Source organism: Homo sapiens, chromosome 20 (genome assembly GCF_000001405.40).
Source record: "Homo sapiens chromosome 20, GRCh38.p14 Primary Assembly".
NCBI lineage: Eukaryota > Metazoa > Chordata > Mammalia > Primates > Hominidae > Homo > Homo sapiens.
Window position 1 is genome coordinate 31,713,304 of NC_000020.11, and position 16,730 is coordinate 31,730,033.

The 16,730-nt window shown below is 48.3% G+C and overlaps 1 protein-coding gene and 1 long non-coding RNA gene across 15 annotated transcripts in view, besides 13 other annotated features; one reads left to right on the forward strand and one right to left on the reverse strand.

Moving 5' to 3' along the window:
- BCL2L1-AS1 (BCL2L1 antisense RNA 1) overlaps positions 1-3,541 on the forward strand; it is a 41,737-nt gene extending 38,196 nt beyond the window's left edge. For all 4 annotated transcript variants that reach the window (NR_187575.1, NR_187576.1, NR_187574.1 and 1 more), the window contains one exon: positions 3,318-3,541. This is a non-coding gene — a long non-coding RNA (BCL2L1 antisense RNA 1). The remainder of the gene's footprint in view (positions 1-3,317) is intronic.
- Positions 1-10,660, reverse strand: part of BCL2L1 (BCL2 like 1) — a 59,512-nt gene extending 48,852 nt beyond the window's left edge. Inside the window, exons 1-2 of one of the 11 annotated variants that reach the window (NM_001317920.2) lie at positions 10,561-10,660; positions 8,352-9,027 (exon numbers count right to left, since the gene is read on the reverse strand). In NM_001317920.2, coding sequence (NP_001304849.1) covers positions 8,352-8,915 — 564 coding nt within the window. In that variant the 5' untranslated portion in view covers positions 8,916-9,027; positions 10,561-10,660. Of the gene's footprint in view, positions 1-8,351; positions 9,046-9,113; positions 9,198-9,314; positions 9,566-10,431 lie in introns of those variants that run through there. The other 10 variants (NM_001322239.2, NM_001317921.2, NM_001322240.2 and 7 more) reach the window with 10 other exon arrangements.
- Positions 23-317: an enhancer, noted in NCBI's record as "tiled region #251; HepG2 Activating non-DNase unmatched - State 1:Tss". NCBI's record gives its function as "activates a minimal TATA promoter and a strong SV40 promoter by Sharpr-MPRA in HepG2 cells {active_cell/tissue: HepG2}" and the evidence as "EXISTENCE:reporter gene assay evidence [ECO:0000049][PMID:27701403]".
- Positions 4,712-4,761: an enhancer, noted in NCBI's record as "active region_17694". NCBI's record gives its function as "activates an Ori minimal core promoter by ATAC-STARR-seq in GM12878 lymphoblastoid cells {active_cell/tissue: GM12878}" and the evidence as "EXISTENCE:reporter gene assay evidence [ECO:0000049][PMID:35858748]".
- Positions 4,992-5,091: a silencer, noted in NCBI's record as "silent region_12761". NCBI's record gives its function as "represses an Ori minimal core promoter by ATAC-STARR-seq in GM12878 lymphoblastoid cells {active_cell/tissue: GM12878}" and the evidence as "EXISTENCE:reporter gene assay evidence [ECO:0000049][PMID:35858748]".
- Positions 7,423-7,542: an enhancer, noted in NCBI's record as "active region_17695". NCBI's record gives its function as "activates an Ori minimal core promoter by ATAC-STARR-seq in GM12878 lymphoblastoid cells {active_cell/tissue: GM12878}" and the evidence as "EXISTENCE:reporter gene assay evidence [ECO:0000049][PMID:35858748]".
- Positions 9,184-9,939: an enhancer, noted in NCBI's record as "NANOG-H3K27ac-H3K4me1 hESC enhancer chr20:30310290-30311045 (GRCh37/hg19 assembly coordinates)". NCBI's record gives its function as "activates a minimal SCP1, AML or CMV promoter by ChIP-STARR-seq in naive H9 embryonic stem cells {active_cell/tissue: H9 hESC(naive)}" and the evidence as "EXISTENCE:reporter gene assay evidence [ECO:0000049][PMID:30033119]".
- Positions 9,304-9,423: a silencer, noted in NCBI's record as "silent region_12762". NCBI's record gives its function as "represses an Ori minimal core promoter by ATAC-STARR-seq in GM12878 lymphoblastoid cells {active_cell/tissue: GM12878}" and the evidence as "EXISTENCE:reporter gene assay evidence [ECO:0000049][PMID:35858748]".
- Positions 9,474-9,583: a silencer, noted in NCBI's record as "silent region_12763". NCBI's record gives its function as "represses an Ori minimal core promoter by ATAC-STARR-seq in GM12878 lymphoblastoid cells {active_cell/tissue: GM12878}" and the evidence as "EXISTENCE:reporter gene assay evidence [ECO:0000049][PMID:35858748]".
- Positions 9,483-9,777: a silencer, noted in NCBI's record as "tiled region #1; K562 Repressive DNase unmatched - State 1:Tss". NCBI's record gives its function as "represses a minimal TATA promoter and a strong SV40 promoter by Sharpr-MPRA in K562 cells {active_cell/tissue: K562}" and the evidence as "EXISTENCE:reporter gene assay evidence [ECO:0000049][PMID:27701403]".
- Positions 9,874-9,933: an enhancer, noted in NCBI's record as "active region_17696". NCBI's record gives its function as "activates an Ori minimal core promoter by ATAC-STARR-seq in GM12878 lymphoblastoid cells {active_cell/tissue: GM12878}" and the evidence as "EXISTENCE:reporter gene assay evidence [ECO:0000049][PMID:35858748]".
- Positions 9,940-10,694: an enhancer, noted in NCBI's record as "NANOG-H3K27ac-H3K4me1 hESC enhancer chr20:30311046-30311800 (GRCh37/hg19 assembly coordinates)". NCBI's record gives its function as "activates a minimal SCP1, AML or CMV promoter by ChIP-STARR-seq in primed H9 embryonic stem cells {active_cell/tissue: H9 hESC(primed)}" and the evidence as "EXISTENCE:reporter gene assay evidence [ECO:0000049][PMID:30033119]".
- Positions 9,984-10,433: a silencer, noted in NCBI's record as "silent region_12764". NCBI's record gives its function as "represses an Ori minimal core promoter by ATAC-STARR-seq in GM12878 lymphoblastoid cells {active_cell/tissue: GM12878}" and the evidence as "EXISTENCE:reporter gene assay evidence [ECO:0000049][PMID:35858748]".
- Positions 10,464-10,663: an enhancer, noted in NCBI's record as "active region_17697". NCBI's record gives its function as "activates an Ori minimal core promoter by ATAC-STARR-seq in GM12878 lymphoblastoid cells {active_cell/tissue: GM12878}" and the evidence as "EXISTENCE:reporter gene assay evidence [ECO:0000049][PMID:35858748]".
- Positions 15,238-15,414: a silencer, noted in NCBI's record as "fragment chr20:30316344-30316520 (GRCh37/hg19 assembly coordinates)". NCBI's record gives its function as "represses an EF-1alpha promoter that drives an FKBP-Casp9 reporter gene in an ReSE screen in K562 erythroleukemia cells {active_cell/tissue: K562}" and the evidence as "EXISTENCE:reporter gene assay evidence [ECO:0000049][PMID:32094911]".

A 16,730-nucleotide genomic window follows, 5' to 3' on the forward strand; every position in this document is an offset into this window, starting at 1 on the left:
AGGCAGAAGCCAGGTGAAGGAGGAAAGGGTAGGGAGCAAAGAAAGTAATGGACAAGAGGAAAGGCAGGGACACGTCCAAAAAAAGTAGTTTTTGGGGGGCGGACCTCTAGGGACATTGCTTTCCAGTTTCCACACTCTTGCCGGCAGGGCTGGGACAGGAAGCAGTCCATGGAAGTCATCGCAATGGCATTTCCTGAAGAGCTGGAGAAAAACCTCCAGTTCCGAGGGGAGCACTGGAGGCTGCCCAAAAAGCTGTGTGGCTCAGAGTTCACTGTAAGGCTCAAGCTTGGCCCGAGAGTCTCATCAGGGATGAAACCAAATAGCAGACGGTCCCAAAGGCAGTTTCTTTATACAAAACCACAATTTCAAAAATCAATATGTAAAAAAAGAGAAGCCAGATGATGTGAGTGAAGAGCCCTAGGATGATATGAAAGCCTTAAAAGAATGAATTAATTCACCCAATCTTCAGAAAAAGGTGGCATTACTATAGCCATTTACAAGTTAAAAGACTTGCCCAAGGTCACACAGCAAGCTAGTAGTCAAGTTCCAATTTGAAAGTCCAAAAACTGCCTCTTCCTCCTGATGTAACCTTGGGCAAGTCAATTCATCTTTCTCACCTGATTTCTCTCCTTTGAAACGGAGATGTCATCCTTCCTGCTCACCTCTCTGGGTGGTTATAAGGATCAAAAAGGCAAGGTGGATCTGAAAGTGCTTTGGAAGCTGTAAGGTGTTACATAAATATAGGGTAGCACTATTGTGGGCTCAGTGATAAACTAGCCTGCCTTGACACTGGGTTTAGTTAAGGTGCTGACATATCTGTCAACAGGAGAGAGCCATTTTAAAATATAACTAATGTGAAATATGCTGTAATGGTGGAATCCGCCACAAGGCCTAAGGATAGAGAGAACCAGCATTCCTTTATTGCCTACTTCAAACCCTCCATCTTGCATAAAGGGAAACTGGGGACTGGGGGTGAAGTGACTTGGCCAAGGTGAGACTGAGAGTAGAACTGGGATTCCAACTCCAAGACCAGTGCTTACACCACCATTGCACACAAACACTGTGGAGCTCCTACTACAACAGAAATGCTGCAAGGGCCTGCTCTGAGATGTGCTGATGGGTCACTATGGTATTTAGAAAAAGGAGAGTGGATGCTCAAGATTCCGTGAATGGGTCTCTGACATGCGTTCTGTGGAAAGATAATAAGAATAATGATACCAACATGGCTCCAGTCTTTATGCATCTCAGGTATACCTCACTGTGTCTTTACCATCGCCCCCTGTGAGGCAGGTATTATTATTTGTCCCAAGATTCAGAGAGGTAAAAGGAGCTTGCATAGGTAGACACGGATGAGTTGGGAACTGAACTCAGACAAATTTCATTTACTCAGACAGAAATACTGTTGGAGTGGAAGAGGACCATTCATCAGAATATCACATTTGGAGAGAACTATTCCCAAAGAACATCTATCTTACTTAACTTTGATTCTAGGACCTCCAAGTAGTTGAAAAATATGGTTTCCAGGATGGCTGGACCCATCAATATACCATGTGCAAGCCTGGTCTTATTCTCCAGTCCCCGTCTCACTACACCTCCACCTCTAGGTCCAAGCCACTATTCTTTTTCACCTGGCAATTGCACCAGCCTCTTCACTGGGCTCCCTGTTGCCACCCTTAAGAATACAGACCAGGCCTGGCACGGTGGCTCACGCCTGTAATTCCAGCACTTTAGGAGGCTGAGGCGGGCGGATCACGAGGTCAGGAGATCGAGACCATCCTGACTAACATGGTGAAACCCCGTCTACTAAAAATACCAAAAATTAGCCGGGTGTGGTGGCGGGCACCTGCAGTCCCAGCTACTTGGGAGGCTGAGGCAGGAGAATGGCGTGAACCCAGGAGGTGCAGCTTGCAGTGAGCAGAGATCGTGCCACTGCACTCCAGTCTGGGAGACAGAGAAAGACTCTGTCTCAAAAAAAAAAAAAAAAGGAATACAGACCATTCCACCAAAGCCAAATCCTCATCATGGTCTGTAATGCTGTATGCGATCTGGCCCCCACCTACTTCTCCATCCTCCTCCTCAACCATTCCCTCCCCACCTTCTACCCTTTTCCCCTTTGCTGTTTCTTCTCCAGCCACATTGACCTTCTTGCTCATCCTTGAAAATGTCAAGCATGCTCCCTCCTGAGTCCATTCCCTCTGCTTTAAACACCCTTTGCTGTAGGGTACCTACATCATCCACCTCCTTACCTCATTTAGCGCTTGGCTCAAATAAATTTAGGTAATACTTTTGTTGGGACTCAGGACATACCATCCCAAAATATGACTGTAGGAAAACAATATGCCACCCCAAAAATATACTTCTTTGGCATATTTTGAACTGGTTATTCTGAGAAACTGCAGACATAAGAGTAGCTCTGAAAAGCTGTCCTTTTGTAAAAGAAATTCACATCTAAAAAGGAAATCTACACTAGTAAAGGTATCTGTATTAGGAAGAGGGCTGCTCCAGACAAATTTTATTACCAGAGAGACTTTTTATTTTTATTTTTTGAGACAGGGTCTTGCTCTGTCACCCAGGTTGGAGCGCAGTGGCTTGATCTCGGCTCACTGCAACCTCCACCTCCCAGGCTCAAGTGATCCTCCCACCTCAGTACACCCCCTCAACAGTATCTGGGACCACAGACACACGCCACCACCAATTCTTTCCCTCACCCTGCCATAACTTGGGTTGCTGCCACTCAAGCCCCTAACAGAAGTCCCAAGCCCCATATTCTTTTCTGTAGCTCAGGATGCTATATAAGCTTCAATTATCTGACCCTTCTTTGAGCCTCATATTTTGTAGGATTCCTGTGTACAACTATGTAATTAATTATTTTTCCTCCAGTTAATCTGTCTATGTCAATTTAATTCTCAGCCCAGCCAAAGGACCTAGAAGGGTAGAGGAAAGCCATTTTTTTCTCCCTTACACCTTCTTTGATCACTCTTTTAAAACTGCAGCCCCACCCTCCCTTGCTAGACATGCCCTATGCCCCAACCTGCTTTATTTTCTTCATAGCATGTACAATCATCTGATATAAACATGTAATTATATATTTATTGCCTGTCACTCCTCATTGGAATGTGAGCTCCATGAGGACAGAAACTTAGTTTTGCTTACTTTTGTTTACTGCCATACTCCCAGTATGGTACACAGTAGGAGCTCAATAAACATTGTTTGACTCAACGAATGAATTATTAGGTAAATAGCCACTCCCATTATTGTTATTCTGGCTTGACAAGGGTCTGTTTCTTCAGAAATTTAGTGGGTTTCTCTTCAATTAGGTATCTGCTATGCCCAAGGCCTCTGCTCAGTGCTGAGGAAACAAGCATGGACAAGATGTGGCCTCCACCCTGAGGAGCTCCTAAATCTAGGACAGAGTAAATCTGTTAGAAATGTCTTCTCTGCACATAATTTAAGCTCTACCAACTGTTAACTTCTTTTCATTTATCCAAGTTTTGCCAGGTACCACACCAATAAAAAAAGACTCAGTCCCTCTTCCTTCAGATATCTGAAGCTGGTGATATTCTCCTGGGTCTTCTCTTCCCCAGGCTAAACAAAAAGACCCAGTGGGATTGCCTGACTCAGGTCTGCCAACTGGGAACAAGGAAGACAGACTGTCGGATAGAGGGGCAGAAGAGAAGAGGATCCAGGAGTAGAGTGACTCCTTCAAAGAAAAAAGAGGGAGTCCTTAGGGAGGACTCTGTGGAATTAGGTTGGAGGTTGGGTGGGGACAGGGCCTCTGCTTAATTAAGGCAGTAGGAGATTATACTTCCGTAGAAAAGCAGTACACTGGGAATTACCCCTATGTCTATCCACATTAAACTCAGGCAAAACCACAGTTGCTTCAAGAAAGCCCCATGATGGAAGGCTGAGGGCACTGGCAAAACCAGGGAGACTGGACACAGAGGAGGACGCTCAAGCCCACTGGCCTCAGGACAGATATCTGCTGGGGGAAGGGACAGAGATAACAACTGCTGTTTCATGCAGCCCAAACAAATCTGGGGACACCCATACAAAAGTCAAGAAAACCCTCCAGGTTCCATTGGAGCCCCCTGAAAAAATACCCGGGTAATTTTCGACAGAAGCTAAAGGGCTCTGTGGGGCTACTGGGGAAATTATTCCTAGGAAGTCTGGAAAACCCTGTGATGGTAACAGAATTTTAAGAGCAACCTCAAATGTACACTCAGAAGAAGTAGGTGTTTCAAGGGGGAGCCCCTGAGACACTTCTACTTAATTTTGGGACCCGAATGAGATTACTAAAAATTTCCACATTTGGGGTTTCTAATGGGGTTTCCCTAAGAAAACCACAGAACTGCCACTATCTGCAAAGGGAGCTGAGGTGCTTCAACTAAGCATACATCCATCTGAAGAAGCCACATTAGGCAATAAGAGATCTACAGAAACTCAGACCACTGAGCCATACAGCTTAAGAAAGGCCAAGTTATGTTTTCTCCCCCAACACAGTTCATTGCTCCCAACAATTACGTTTCTATCAGGCTAAGGGATTTCTTCAGGGACAGCAATCCCAAAGTGGCAAGGCCCACCTGGGTCCCTTCCCACATTCCCATTGGAAAGCACCAGAAACACTTGTGTCCCTTCGGGGAAGGTCATGTATACAACATTCCAGGAAAGTATCACAGGGACTTTGTTTCTCAAGGAGAAACTCTAGGGGGAAGAGTCAGTTCTCTGAGGGAAGCTGCCCATTCATTAAAGGGTTTCCACCCTACAATTATGGCAGGAGAAGGGCTTTTGTGCTAGATCCTTTACTCGAGTCAAGCTATGGCAGCTGGCTATCATTATTCCATTTTACAGGCGGGAGAGACAGATGGACAAGACAGCCGAACAGGTTCAGCATTTCATCAGGTGACTCCAGGCAGGCAGTAATCTGGCTAAGGGTCTACACTTTCAGTCCTTGAAGCATCACTCCACCACTAAGTAGAGATACCTGGGGCAGGCCACCTTCTCCCCACACGCACACCACTGTCATCTATTGGCAGGGCCTGAGAGGGTTTTAACAATGAAAAAATTGGCCGGGGCCAGGCACGGTGGTTCATGCCTGTAATCCCAGCATTTTGGGAGGCTGAGGCAGGCGGATCACCTGAGGTTGGGAGTTTGAAACCAGCTTGACCAACATGGAGAAACCCCATCTCTACTAAAAATACAAAATTAGCCAGGTGTGGTGGCGCATGCCTGTAATCCCAGCTACTTGGGAGGCTGAGGCAGGAGAATCACTTGAACCCGGGAGGCAGAGGCTGCAGTGAGCTGAGATCGCGCCACTGCACTCCAGCCTAGGCAACAAGAGCGAGACTCCGTCTCAAAAAAAAAAAAAAAAAGAAAAAATTAATAAGCAGCTCACTCTGGGCAAAACCCTGATGCCCACTTGAAACCTGCCATGTCTGAGTTTTACCAGTGCCAGAATCTGAGGCTACCAACACGCCTCTGGGAACCTGCTACTGCCAACTATCCTTCCCATAGCTACCTGAACAAAGCCAGTTATCAGTCCAGAGTGAGCACCTTCACAGGCATGGTTTGCTTGGCCCAACAGCATCTCTGGCTTTCTGGGCCAGCATGTCTAGGTCACTTTATTACTCCCTGGACAACTTGATAGGATGAAAAGTGTTGGCTTTAGAATTATGCCAACCTTGGTGTAAATTCTCATTCAGACACTTAACTGGCTGAGGGACACCTGGGGTCAGTCACTTAGGCACAAAGACCTTCATGTGTAAACTGGGAATAAACTCACCTTCCTTGGAAGGTTACTGTAGAATATATGAAACAGCATGCCGTTTCCATGAAGGAAGGTACCATGCGTGGCTTATGGCCAGCACCTAGTACACTGCTAGCTTCACAGTAGATGCTCAAGAAACACTGGTTGCATAAGTAGAGGACCTAACACAGTGCCTAGTACTTAACAGGTACTCAATAAAGACTAATTTCCTTCCCCTTTCCTGTAGGGATGCTAAATTTAGAACATAGCCCTGAGTAGAATAGCCCATAACTCCTACCCTTAAGGATCTCCCAGCCGCAGTCTCCAGGATAATTACCCGATGCCACCACAGTAGCCAGTCGGTGCAGCTTGGAACAGGATAATACCTGAGAGGAAGGGGGCGGGTACCTTCTACCCAGGCTCAAAGGATCCTGAGTCAAATGTTCTTTACTCCCTGGCCTTAGGGAGAGAATGTGTGCTCAGAAATGGTTCTGATATAACTGGCTCTTCCACACACATCCCCTCTGTTCACCAAGAGGAAGTGACATGTGGTATGTTGTCCAACAGGCTCTGATGATTCTTAAGCAAAGAGATGGAAGATGGAATTTCAACCCCATGGAGATCTAATAAACTTACCCAGAGTTGCTGTGTCTAAGACCTCTTTCATATGCACCACTGGGCAGCTGGCAATTCTCTGGTAGGGGTAGCCTTCTGCAGAGGCTGGCTAGCAGACCAGGCACCTCTCCCAGACTGCCTTTTGTTTATAGCTGGCAACAACCCACCTGGTATTAGGACCACTGGCCAAAGACAATAGTCAGGCAAAGTGGGCAAGCAGCCTCAATCCCTACTTGGAGATGCCTCAGAGGGTGTGTCTGCAGTACTGGAATCCTGTCCCTCCTGTAATCAGCTGAACAAATATTTGCCCCAAAAGAGAATCAAAGCAGGAGGGAACAGGAGAGGTCACTGCACAAACCAACAGGAACTATTTAATCATTTATCCCCCTAGAGAGTTCATTTACAGAATGGCTTTCAAGTCTAGTCAGCTAGCTCAAGAGAACCCACCACCTTTACCTCCCCTGACCCCACCCCAGTTATCTGACCTCTATTGACTTGACCCCCTTGCCTTTTACAAGAGCTGGCACAGACGAGTTGAAATTGCAAAGAAATGCAAAATGAGAGAGGGGGTGGGGTTCCAGGGCAAACTCAGGAGGTCTCTTGCTCAGTGGTAAAGTGAAGTGCCTGCCACACCCTAGGCCCAGCCTATAGACAGTTGCATTCTTGACATTCCTGAGTCCATGGTGCATGTCCCCTTCCACCTCAGCTCCTTCAATGGATGACTTATTTTCCACAGCTTGATGCTTTTCTGCATACTCTGAGGGGATAGAACATCTCTCATAAAACCTGCACCTCCGCTAGGTAGGGAGATAAGCAAGAAAACAGGACTGAATTCACTGAAGAGCAAAACTTGCCTACAGTGACCACTGGTAAAGAAGCTTTCACCACCATCTCATCCTGGCTCAGTGATGGGCAGGAGAACTCTCCCTCCCTGGAAAGGGAATTTGCTGGTGTCAGTCACTGTGCTCACATTATCGCCAAGATTTACAATACACTGTAAGGCAAGGAGAGCTTGCCACATTTTTTAGTGAAAGAAACTAAGCCTCAAGAAAGTAACCCAGCCTGTCCAAGGTCACACAGCTAGTTACATGACAGAACTGGAACTTATACCTGCATGTGAAGTCTGTTACTAAATCTCAATGTCCCACAGAGCCCCAAAGACTAGGTTCTTGCTTTGCCAGCAAACAGTGCTTGAAGAGGCCCCTGGGCTCTGGCCGGAAAGTAACAGGCAGAGCAGCTGGAGCTCCCCAACCGACCCCAGGCAATGAGGTGCAAAGTCCCCTGGCTTAATGTGTGACACAGCAAGTGCTCCACAAACAAGGCAACCATGCAGAAAGTCGCACACTTTGGGGGAAATGAACTTAGGGGGCGCAGTGCAAACACAATCTGCACAGCCTACACTGCCCCAAAATCTGACAATTCTCAGCCATTCAACCCAGTGGGAACTCCTGCCTATGGCCATGCCCTAGTCTGAGAGGAGAGTGCCATACACGCAAACTTTGAAATAAAGGGAACTTGATTTGGGGGAGAGAAGCCCAGGATAGGACTGAGACCCCTTGGGGGGAACAGATGGAGAGGTCTGTGGGTCATTGATGCTCATCATCTTCTCCAGGCATTATACTCATCACCCCTTTGTGTGTGAACCATTGTATAAGGTAAGGGAAACACCGAACTAACTTCCTACCCTCACAGGTTTGGGACTTAATGAACACATAGGCTACAGTTTTCTTTGCTGAGAAACTGGAACACAAGTATGGAATAGTGGAGTCATGGGGGTGACCAGGGTGAAAGATGCCTGATCTCTGAAGCACAGGGTCATTTGTATTTCCAAGGAGTTAACCTCTTGTGGTGAAATGAGGCCAGTCAGGTTTCCTCAACTATCAACGTCTCCAACAATCACCCAACACAACAGAAAGAGATACAGAAGAAGGGCTGTTGGGGATCTCTGACCAGAGGCCAAAGAAAAGGGACACACAAGGGGCTTGGTTCTTACCCAGCCGCCGTTCTCCTGGATCCAAGGCTCTAGGTGGTCATTCAGGTAAGTGGCCATCCAAGCTGCGATCCGACTCACCAATACCTGCATCTCCTTGTCTACGCTTTCCACGCACAGTGCCCCGCCGAAGGAGAAAAAGGCCACAATGCGACCCCAGTTTACCCCATCCCGGAAGAGTTCATTCACTACCTGTTCAAAGCTCTGATATGCTGTCCCTGGGGTGATGTGGAGCTGGGATGTCAGGTCACTGAATGCCCGCCGGTACCGCAGTTCAAACTCGTCGCCTGCCTCCCTCAGCGCTTGCTTTACTGCTGCCATGGGGATCACCTCCCGGGCATCCAAACTGCTGCTGTGGCCAGTGGCTCCATTCACCGCGGGGCTGTCTGCCAGGTGCCAGGATGGGTTGCCATTGATGGCACTGGGGGTCTCCATCTCCGATTCAGTCCCTTCTGGGGCCTCAGTCCTGTTCTCTTCCACATCACTAAACTGACTCCAGCTGTATCCTTTCTGGGAAAGCTTGTAGGAGAGAAAGTCAACCACCAGCTCCCGGTTGCTCTGAGACATTTTTATAATAGGGATGGGCTCAACCAGTCCATTGTCCAAAACACCTGCTCACTCACTGAGTCTCGTCTCTGGTTAGTGATTCTCTTCTAAGATCCAAAGCCAAGATAAGATTCTGAAGGGAGAGAAAGAGCTTCAGGAAAAAAAAATAATTAATATGCATGCCATTTACCCTAAAAATTCCATTCCCCCTCCAGGTACCAGAACTGGTTTCTTTGTGGGTCTTACGAAGGTCTGGGTCTAGGTTCCAAGATACTTCACTTAAGTCAAATCGAAAGCACCAGTGGACTCTGAATCTCCCACCAGCCTTTTCTACCCCCGTCTTCTCCGAAATGCCTTCCTCGGAAAGTCACTCCCTGGGCAGTCCCCCCCGCCCCACTCCCGCTCCCCCGCACCACCTACATTCAAATCCGCCTTAGGCAAAGGCAGGCAGGTGCAGCCCCCGGAAGATCTTTTGTATCACAGGTCGGGAGAGGAGGTGGCTGCGGGGATGCCGGTAACTCAGCCGGCCTCGCGGTGGCTGGCAAAAAAACCAGCTCCGGCCGGAGGGATCATGCGACCCGGCAGGCTGGGAGCCCAGAAGGCGACACAGGAATTGCGAAGCTCAGGAACCAGCCCCCTCGCTTGCTTCCTCCTCCATCGCCCGGATCGAGGGCGGCCGCTCCGCAGCCGCGGCCTCCTGCCACCCGGGAGCCCAGCCCCCTCTCTCTTGCACGCCCCTTGGCTCTCCGCCTCCTACTGGGAGCCAGGAGTACTCTCCCGGAGGTGGCTGGTATGGATTTAGTTGGTTTTTGTTTTTCTTTTTTCTATTTAAGCACCAGCCCAGGGTGAGGTGGAGGCGTCCGAAACCCTAAAGGGACTTCTCAATGGGGTTCAAGGTTTCAGTGAGGGACGCAGGGAGGGGGAAACTGCCTCAGATCTGCAATCTGACTTTGGGAAGGCCACCCCCAGGCCTGTCTGTGATGTTGAAGGCCGGAGACCCCCAACAAATGCCGCTGGTTTGCTCTGAATTCCCCAAAGGCCCAGAACGTGGCAGTTGGGGATTGCCGGGTCCTCCATTCCCCGCCCGGACACAATGGCCGCCGGCGCCCTGCACAAAGACTGGGTGAGGGTGAGGCGCTGGGCCTCTCCTCAGGTCAGGAAGAGGGGTCGAGGCCTGCTCGACGGCCCCACAGCTGAGACCACGTTTTCCTGGGGACAGGCCCAAAGTGGCTTTCTGGCGCCCCCGGGAGGGCTCCGGGGCCGGGGGCTGCACCTCTCCGGAGCCCAGGGTGGGCCGGCTGCGGCCTAGCGGCTTCTCGAGCTCACTAGGCCGGGTACCCGCCGAGCCACCGCCCCGTTGCTAGGCAACCGCCCTCCCCCGGGGGCGCCCCCTAGACCTTCCTGAGAGGAGGGGCCTCGCCCCCGGCGGTCCGCCCCAGCGCAGCCAATCAGCGAGCCCAGCCGGCACGGAAGCGGGACGGCGAAGGCTCCTATTGGGCGCAACGGCTGTCACGCACAGGGGAGGCGGCGCTCTCACCTGCGAGCCCCGCGAGCCGTGGGGGGCCACATCCCCCTTCATCGGCCCGGTAGCTTCCAGACGCAAGAGCTCTTCGCGGCCGAGTTCCGCGCCGCGGACCCGGGCCGGCCTACCTGGCTGCCGGCCTACCTGGCTGACTGCTCGCGCCGTCTCTCCCGAACAAGCCGGCCTCAGTTTCCCCTGAAGAGACAGGGGAACTTGCAAGCTCAGTCACTTCCGGTGCCGCGGCAACGCGCGCGAGCCCGAGACGCAAAGGGAGTGCGCGCCTTGAGTGACTGGCATCAGGACCGGGGAGAGATCGCCCCCTCGCGGTAGATCTGGGGAATCGGGAGGCGCAAAAAATCAACATTTATAATCACATTTCCATTTATTCATTCAGTCAGTCAGTCAGTCACTCATCAGTCAATCAGCCTATTTCATCCGTCCGTCAGTTTATATATAGAAGAAGCATCGCCTTGTGGTTAAGCACTTTGTCTGGATTCTAACTCTGCTAGTTAGGCAAGTTTCTCAACTGCTCTGTGCTTCAATGTCCTCAATTGTAAAATGGGTAATAGTACCAACCTCTCTCGTTGAGCTATTGTGATGATTAAGAGAGTTATTAATTGTAAACTCCATAGGACAGGCCGGGCGCGGTGGCTCACGCCCGTAATCCCAGCACTTTGGGAGGCCGAGGCGGGCGGATCACCTGAGGTTAGGAGTTCAAGACCAGCGTGGCCAATGTGGTGAAACCCCGTCTCTACTAAAAATACAAAAAATTAGCTGGGCGTGGTGGCGCATGCCTGTAATCCCAGCTACTCGGGAGGCTGAGGCAGCAGACTCGCTTACAGGAGAATCGTTTACAGGCGTGAGCCACCGCGCCCCGCCAATTTCCTTACACCCTGAACCACACAGTGTGTTATCAAATGTTTTATCCTTGCCAATTAGATGGGTAAAAACCGAAGGCACTTTCATATTTCTTTTTTTATTATGAATGAAGTTGAGCAATTTGTCATATTTTTTAGTCTTTCTTTGGAGGGTGGTGGATCTTGTATTGGTGAATTTTCTTCATATTGTTTACCCCTTTTTCAGGTGGTCTTTCTGTTGAACTCTTTCCTCATTTTTTTTTTTTTTTTTGTTATTGTTGTTTGTTCGAGATGGAGTCTTGCTCTGTTGCACAGGCTGGAGTGCAGTGGTGCTATCTTGGCTCACTGTAAACTCTGCCCGCCAGGTTCAAGTGATTGTCCTGCCTCAGCCTCCCTAGTATCTGGGACTACAGGTACACACCACCACGCCCGGCTAATTTTTGTATTTTTAGTAGAGACAGGGTTTCACCATTTTGGCCAGGCTGGTCTCAAACTGCTGACCTCAGGTGATCCGACTGCCTCAGCCTCCCAAAGTGCTGGGATTACAGACATGAGCCACCGTGCCCGGCCTTTTTTTTTTTTTTTTTTTTGAGACAGGGTATGTCACCCAGCCTGCAGTGCAATGGTGTGATCTCAGCTCACAGCAGCCTCGACCTCCCCATCCCAGGTGATCCTCCCACCTCAGCCTCCCCAGTAGTTGTGAATACAGGCTCGCACCTCCACACCCAGCTAATTTTTGTATTTTTTGTAGAGAATGGAGTTTCCCCATGTTGCCCAGGCTGGTCTCAAACTCCTGGGCTCAAGTGATCTGTCTATGTCGGCCTCCCAAAGTCCTGGAATTACAGGCATTAGCCACCACACCTGGCTCTGATTTACATTTTTTTTGCTGTTTTTCGAGATGGAGTCTTGCTCTGTCACCCAAGCTGGAGTGCGGTGGTGCGATCTCGGCTCACTGCAGCCTTCGCCTCCTGGGTTCAAGTGATTCTCCTGCCTCAGCCTCCTGAGTAGCTGGGATTACAGGCACCTGCCACCACGCCCGGCTAATTTTTGTATTTTTAGTAGAGACGGGGTTTCACCAGTTGGTCAGGCTAGTCTCGAACTCCTGACCTCGTGATCCGCCCACCTTGGCCTCCCAAAGTGCTGGGATTACAGGTGTGAGCCAGCGCGCCCGGTCTGATTTACATTTTTGAACCTATGGTGCCACAATTATCTCAATGTGAAAACTATCATTATGGAAGCCTCAGTGTGCTTTGGGAGCCCAGCAGAGGGCAGATAAACTCTGTCCACAGATAGGGGCTTTACTGAACTGGCCCTCAAAAGAATAGAATTTTGCTTGGGTGAGAAAGGATGTAGGAGCATTTTAAGCAGAAGATATTGCTTGAGCGAAGGCCTGGCAGCCCAGCGTGAGAGCCCATGGTGTCCTGGAAATAAATTGGGATGGCTGAGGGGAGTGGTGGAGAGGGGATGGAATATAAATGTGTATCCATGCGAGCAGCACATCAAATAGCACCAGAGGAGCCAGCAAAGATTTTTTTAAACCAGAAAGAACATGAAGAAATTTATATTTTGGAAAGATGGATACATATTTTGGAAAAAGAATTTTGCAAGTCTTGAAAATGGCTCTCAAATGATCTTTGACTGGAATCTAATTTAAAGAAAATAAGTTACATTTAAATCTAAAGAAAATAAGTTTTCTTTTTTATACTTCTCTATGTTGTCTACACATAACTTTGTATTTTTTTTCTTTTTTCTTTTTCTTTTTTTTTTTTTTTTGAGATGGAGTCTTGCTCTGTTGCCCAGGCTGGAGTGCAGTGGCATGATCTTGGCTCACTGCAACCTCTGCCTCCTGGGTTCAAGCGATTCTCTGGCCTCAGCCTCCCTCTTTTTTTTTTTTTTTTTTTTGATACAGAGTCTTGTTCTATCGCCAAGGCCGGAGTGCAGTGGCACAACCTCGGCTTACTGCAACCTGTGCCTCCCGGCTTCAAGTGATTCTCCTGTCTCACCATGTTGGTCAGGCTGGTCTCGAACTCCTGACTTTGTGATCCGCCGGCCTCGGCCTCTCAAAGTGCTGGGATTACAGGCGTGAGCCATTGCGTCCAGCTATTATTTTTAATTATATAACACTATCTAAAAACATGCTAACTTTGGCCGGGCACAGTGGCTCACGTCTGTAGTACCAACACTTTGGGAGGCCAAGGCGGGTGGATCACGAGGTCAGGGGTTCAAGACCAGCCTGGCCAACATGGTGAAAGTCCGTCTCTACTACAAATACAAAAATTAGCTAGGCATGGTGGCAGGTGCCTGTAATCCCAGCTACTCAGGAGGCTGAGGCAGGAGAATCACTTGAACCCAGGAGACAGAGTTTGCAATGAGCTGAGAGCATGCCACCACACTCCAGCCTGGGCAACAGAGTGAGACTCTGCCTCAAAAAAAAAAGAAGAATCCCAGAAACAGACCAGCCATGGTGGCTCACACCTGTAATCCCACCACTTTGGGAGTCCAAGGCGGAAAGATGCTTGAGCCCAGGAGTTCAATACCAGCCTAGGCAATATAGTGAGACCCCCTCTCTACAAAATAAAACAAAAACAAAAACAGAAAAAGAACAATTAGCCAGGCCTGGTGGCATACACCTGTTGTCCCTAGCAACTGAGTAGATTGAGGCAAAAGAATCGCTTAAGCCTGGGAGGTCAAGGCTACAGTGAGCTGTGATCATACCACTGTACTCCAGCCTGGGTGACAGAGTAAGACACCCTCTCAAAAAAAAAAAAAAAGGGAATCTCAGAAACATATTGAATGGAAAAAATGGCAAAAGAATAATGTAGGAAGATTCTACTTATATACAGTTTAGAAATAGGCAATATACAATTTAGAGTTTGTAGCATCTAGCTTCCTCCAAGATGGCACCTAAATATCCCTGCCTCTTCGTATTCATGCCTTTGTGTGTTTCCCTCCCACACTGAACCACAGTTGTTCTGTGTGACTAATGACAAATTACAGCGATGGAATGTTTCTTTCCCTCCCTTCTTCTCTCTCTCTCTCTCTTTCTTTCTTTCTTTTCTTGACAGGGTCTCGCTGTTGCCCAGGCTGTAGTGCAGTGACACAATCACGGCTCACTGCAGCCTTGACCTCCCAGGCCCAAGCAATCCTCCCACCTCAGTCTCCCTAGTAGCTGGGACCACAGGCATGTGCCACCACACCCAGCTAATTTTTGTATTTTTTTGTAGAGACGGTGTTTCGCCATATTGCCCAAGCTGGGGTTATGTCACTTTCAAGACTTTGTTACGAAAGATTGTGGCTTCAGCTGGGCGCGGTGGCTCATACCTGTAATCTCAGCACTTTGGGAGGCCGAGGCGGGTGGATCATGAGGTCAGGAGATTGAGACCATCCTGGCTAACATGGTATAACCCCATCTCTACTAAAAATAAAAAAAACAAAATTAGCTGGGCGTGGTGGTGGGCGCCTGTAGTCCCAGCTACTCAGGAGGCTGAGGCAGGAGAATGGCATGAACTCGGGAGGTGGAGCTTGCAGTAGGCCGAGATCCCACCACTGCACTCCAGCCTGGGTGACAGAGGGAGACTCCATCTCAAAAAAAAACAAAAAACAAAACAAAAACCCCCAAAAGATTGTGGCTTCCGTCTTTGTGTTTGTGGTCTCTCTCTCACTCTGGGGGAAGCCAGCTGCCATGTTGGGAGCAGCCCTATGGAGAGGCCGACAGTCATGTGAGGGTCCTCCTGCCCCAGTCAAGCCTTCAGGTGATGACAACCTTATTAGAGACCCTGAACCAGAACCACTCCATTAAGCTGGATTCCTGATGCTCAGAAATTGTATGAAATAATACATTATTGTGATTTTAAGCTGCTAAGTTTGGGGGTAATTTGCTCTCCAATAGTAGATAACATATATATATATATACCTTATATACCTACGTGGTAAGAGAATAACAAACACAAAAGTCATGATAGGCTGGGTGCAGTGGCTCATGCCTGTAATCCCAGCACTTCTGGAGGCCAAGGCGGGCAGATCACTTGAGGCCAGGAGTTTGAGACCACTCTGGCCAACATGGCAAAACGCCATTTCTACTAAAAATTTGCTGGGTGTGGTGGTGTGCACATGTAGTCCCAGATACTCTGGAGGCTGAAGCGTGAGAATTGCTTGCATCCAGGAGGCAGAGGTTGCAGGGAGCTGAGATCCTGCCACTGCCCTCCAGCTTGGGCAACAGAGAGGGACTCTCTTTCAAAAAAAAAAAAAAAAGTCATGATAGCTATTGGACATTAACACGAGAGGGTATTGGATTAACCTAGGGAACAAGATGAAATTGGAAGCTTCAAAAATAATGATCTCTGTCTGAAACAGAATAGTAGTAAACAATTTAAATAAAAAGGAACAAGGCCGGGTGTGGTGGCTTACACCTGTAATCCCAGCACTTTGGGAGGCCAAGGCAGATTGATCATAAAGTCAGGAGTTCGAGACCAGCCTGGCCAACATAGTGAAACCCCCGTCTCTATTAAAAATACAAAAAATTAGCTGGGCATGGTGGCGGGTGCCTGTAATCTCAGCTACTCCGGAAGCTGAGGCAGGAGAGTCGCTTGAACCTGGGAGGTGGAGGTTGCAGTGAGCCAAGATCGCGCCATTGCACTCCAGCCTGAGCGACAGTGCAAGACTCCGTCTCAAAAAAAAAAGAAACAAAGTAGAAAGAAAAGACAATGAAAATGGTTTTCTTGTTGAATTGTACATATGTACAGAGACTTTTTTTGCCTCATTATTCTTTATACCTTTCATACATTGCATATATGTATTTGTATCTACTCTGTTAATAAAATCAATGTTTAAAAGACAAGAGGAAATATACTAAAATGCTAATAGTAGAGATAGTGCCACTAAAGGCTACGTTATAGTTATTTTTCTTTATTCTTTATTATTTTCAGTATTTTTTCATATATATAACATATAGCTTTAGGGGTACAAGTGGTTTTGGGTTACATAGTAGATGAATTATATAGTTGGTGAAGTCTGGACTTTTAATGTGCCCATCACATAAAGAGTGTACACTGTAATCAATAGGTGATTTTTAATCCCTTACCTTCCGTGTATTTTCCAAATATTAAAATAAGAAAGCATTACTTTTGGCCTGGCATGGTGGCTCATGCCTGTAATCCTAGCACTTTGGAAGGTCGAGGTGGGCAGATCACTTGAGGTCAGGGGTTCAAAACCAGCCTGGCCAATATGGTGAAACCCTGTCTTTACTAAAAATACAAAAAATTAGCTGGGTGTGCTAGCGGGCGCTTGTAATCACAGCTACTCAGGAGGCTGAGGCAGGAGAATCACTTGAACCTGGGAGGCAGAGGTTGCAGTGAGCCAAGATTACACTCTAGCCTGGGTGACAGAAGAGACTTTGTCTCAAAAAAAAAAAAAAAAACTTTACTTTTTAAATGAGAAATTTGAAAAACATATGAACAC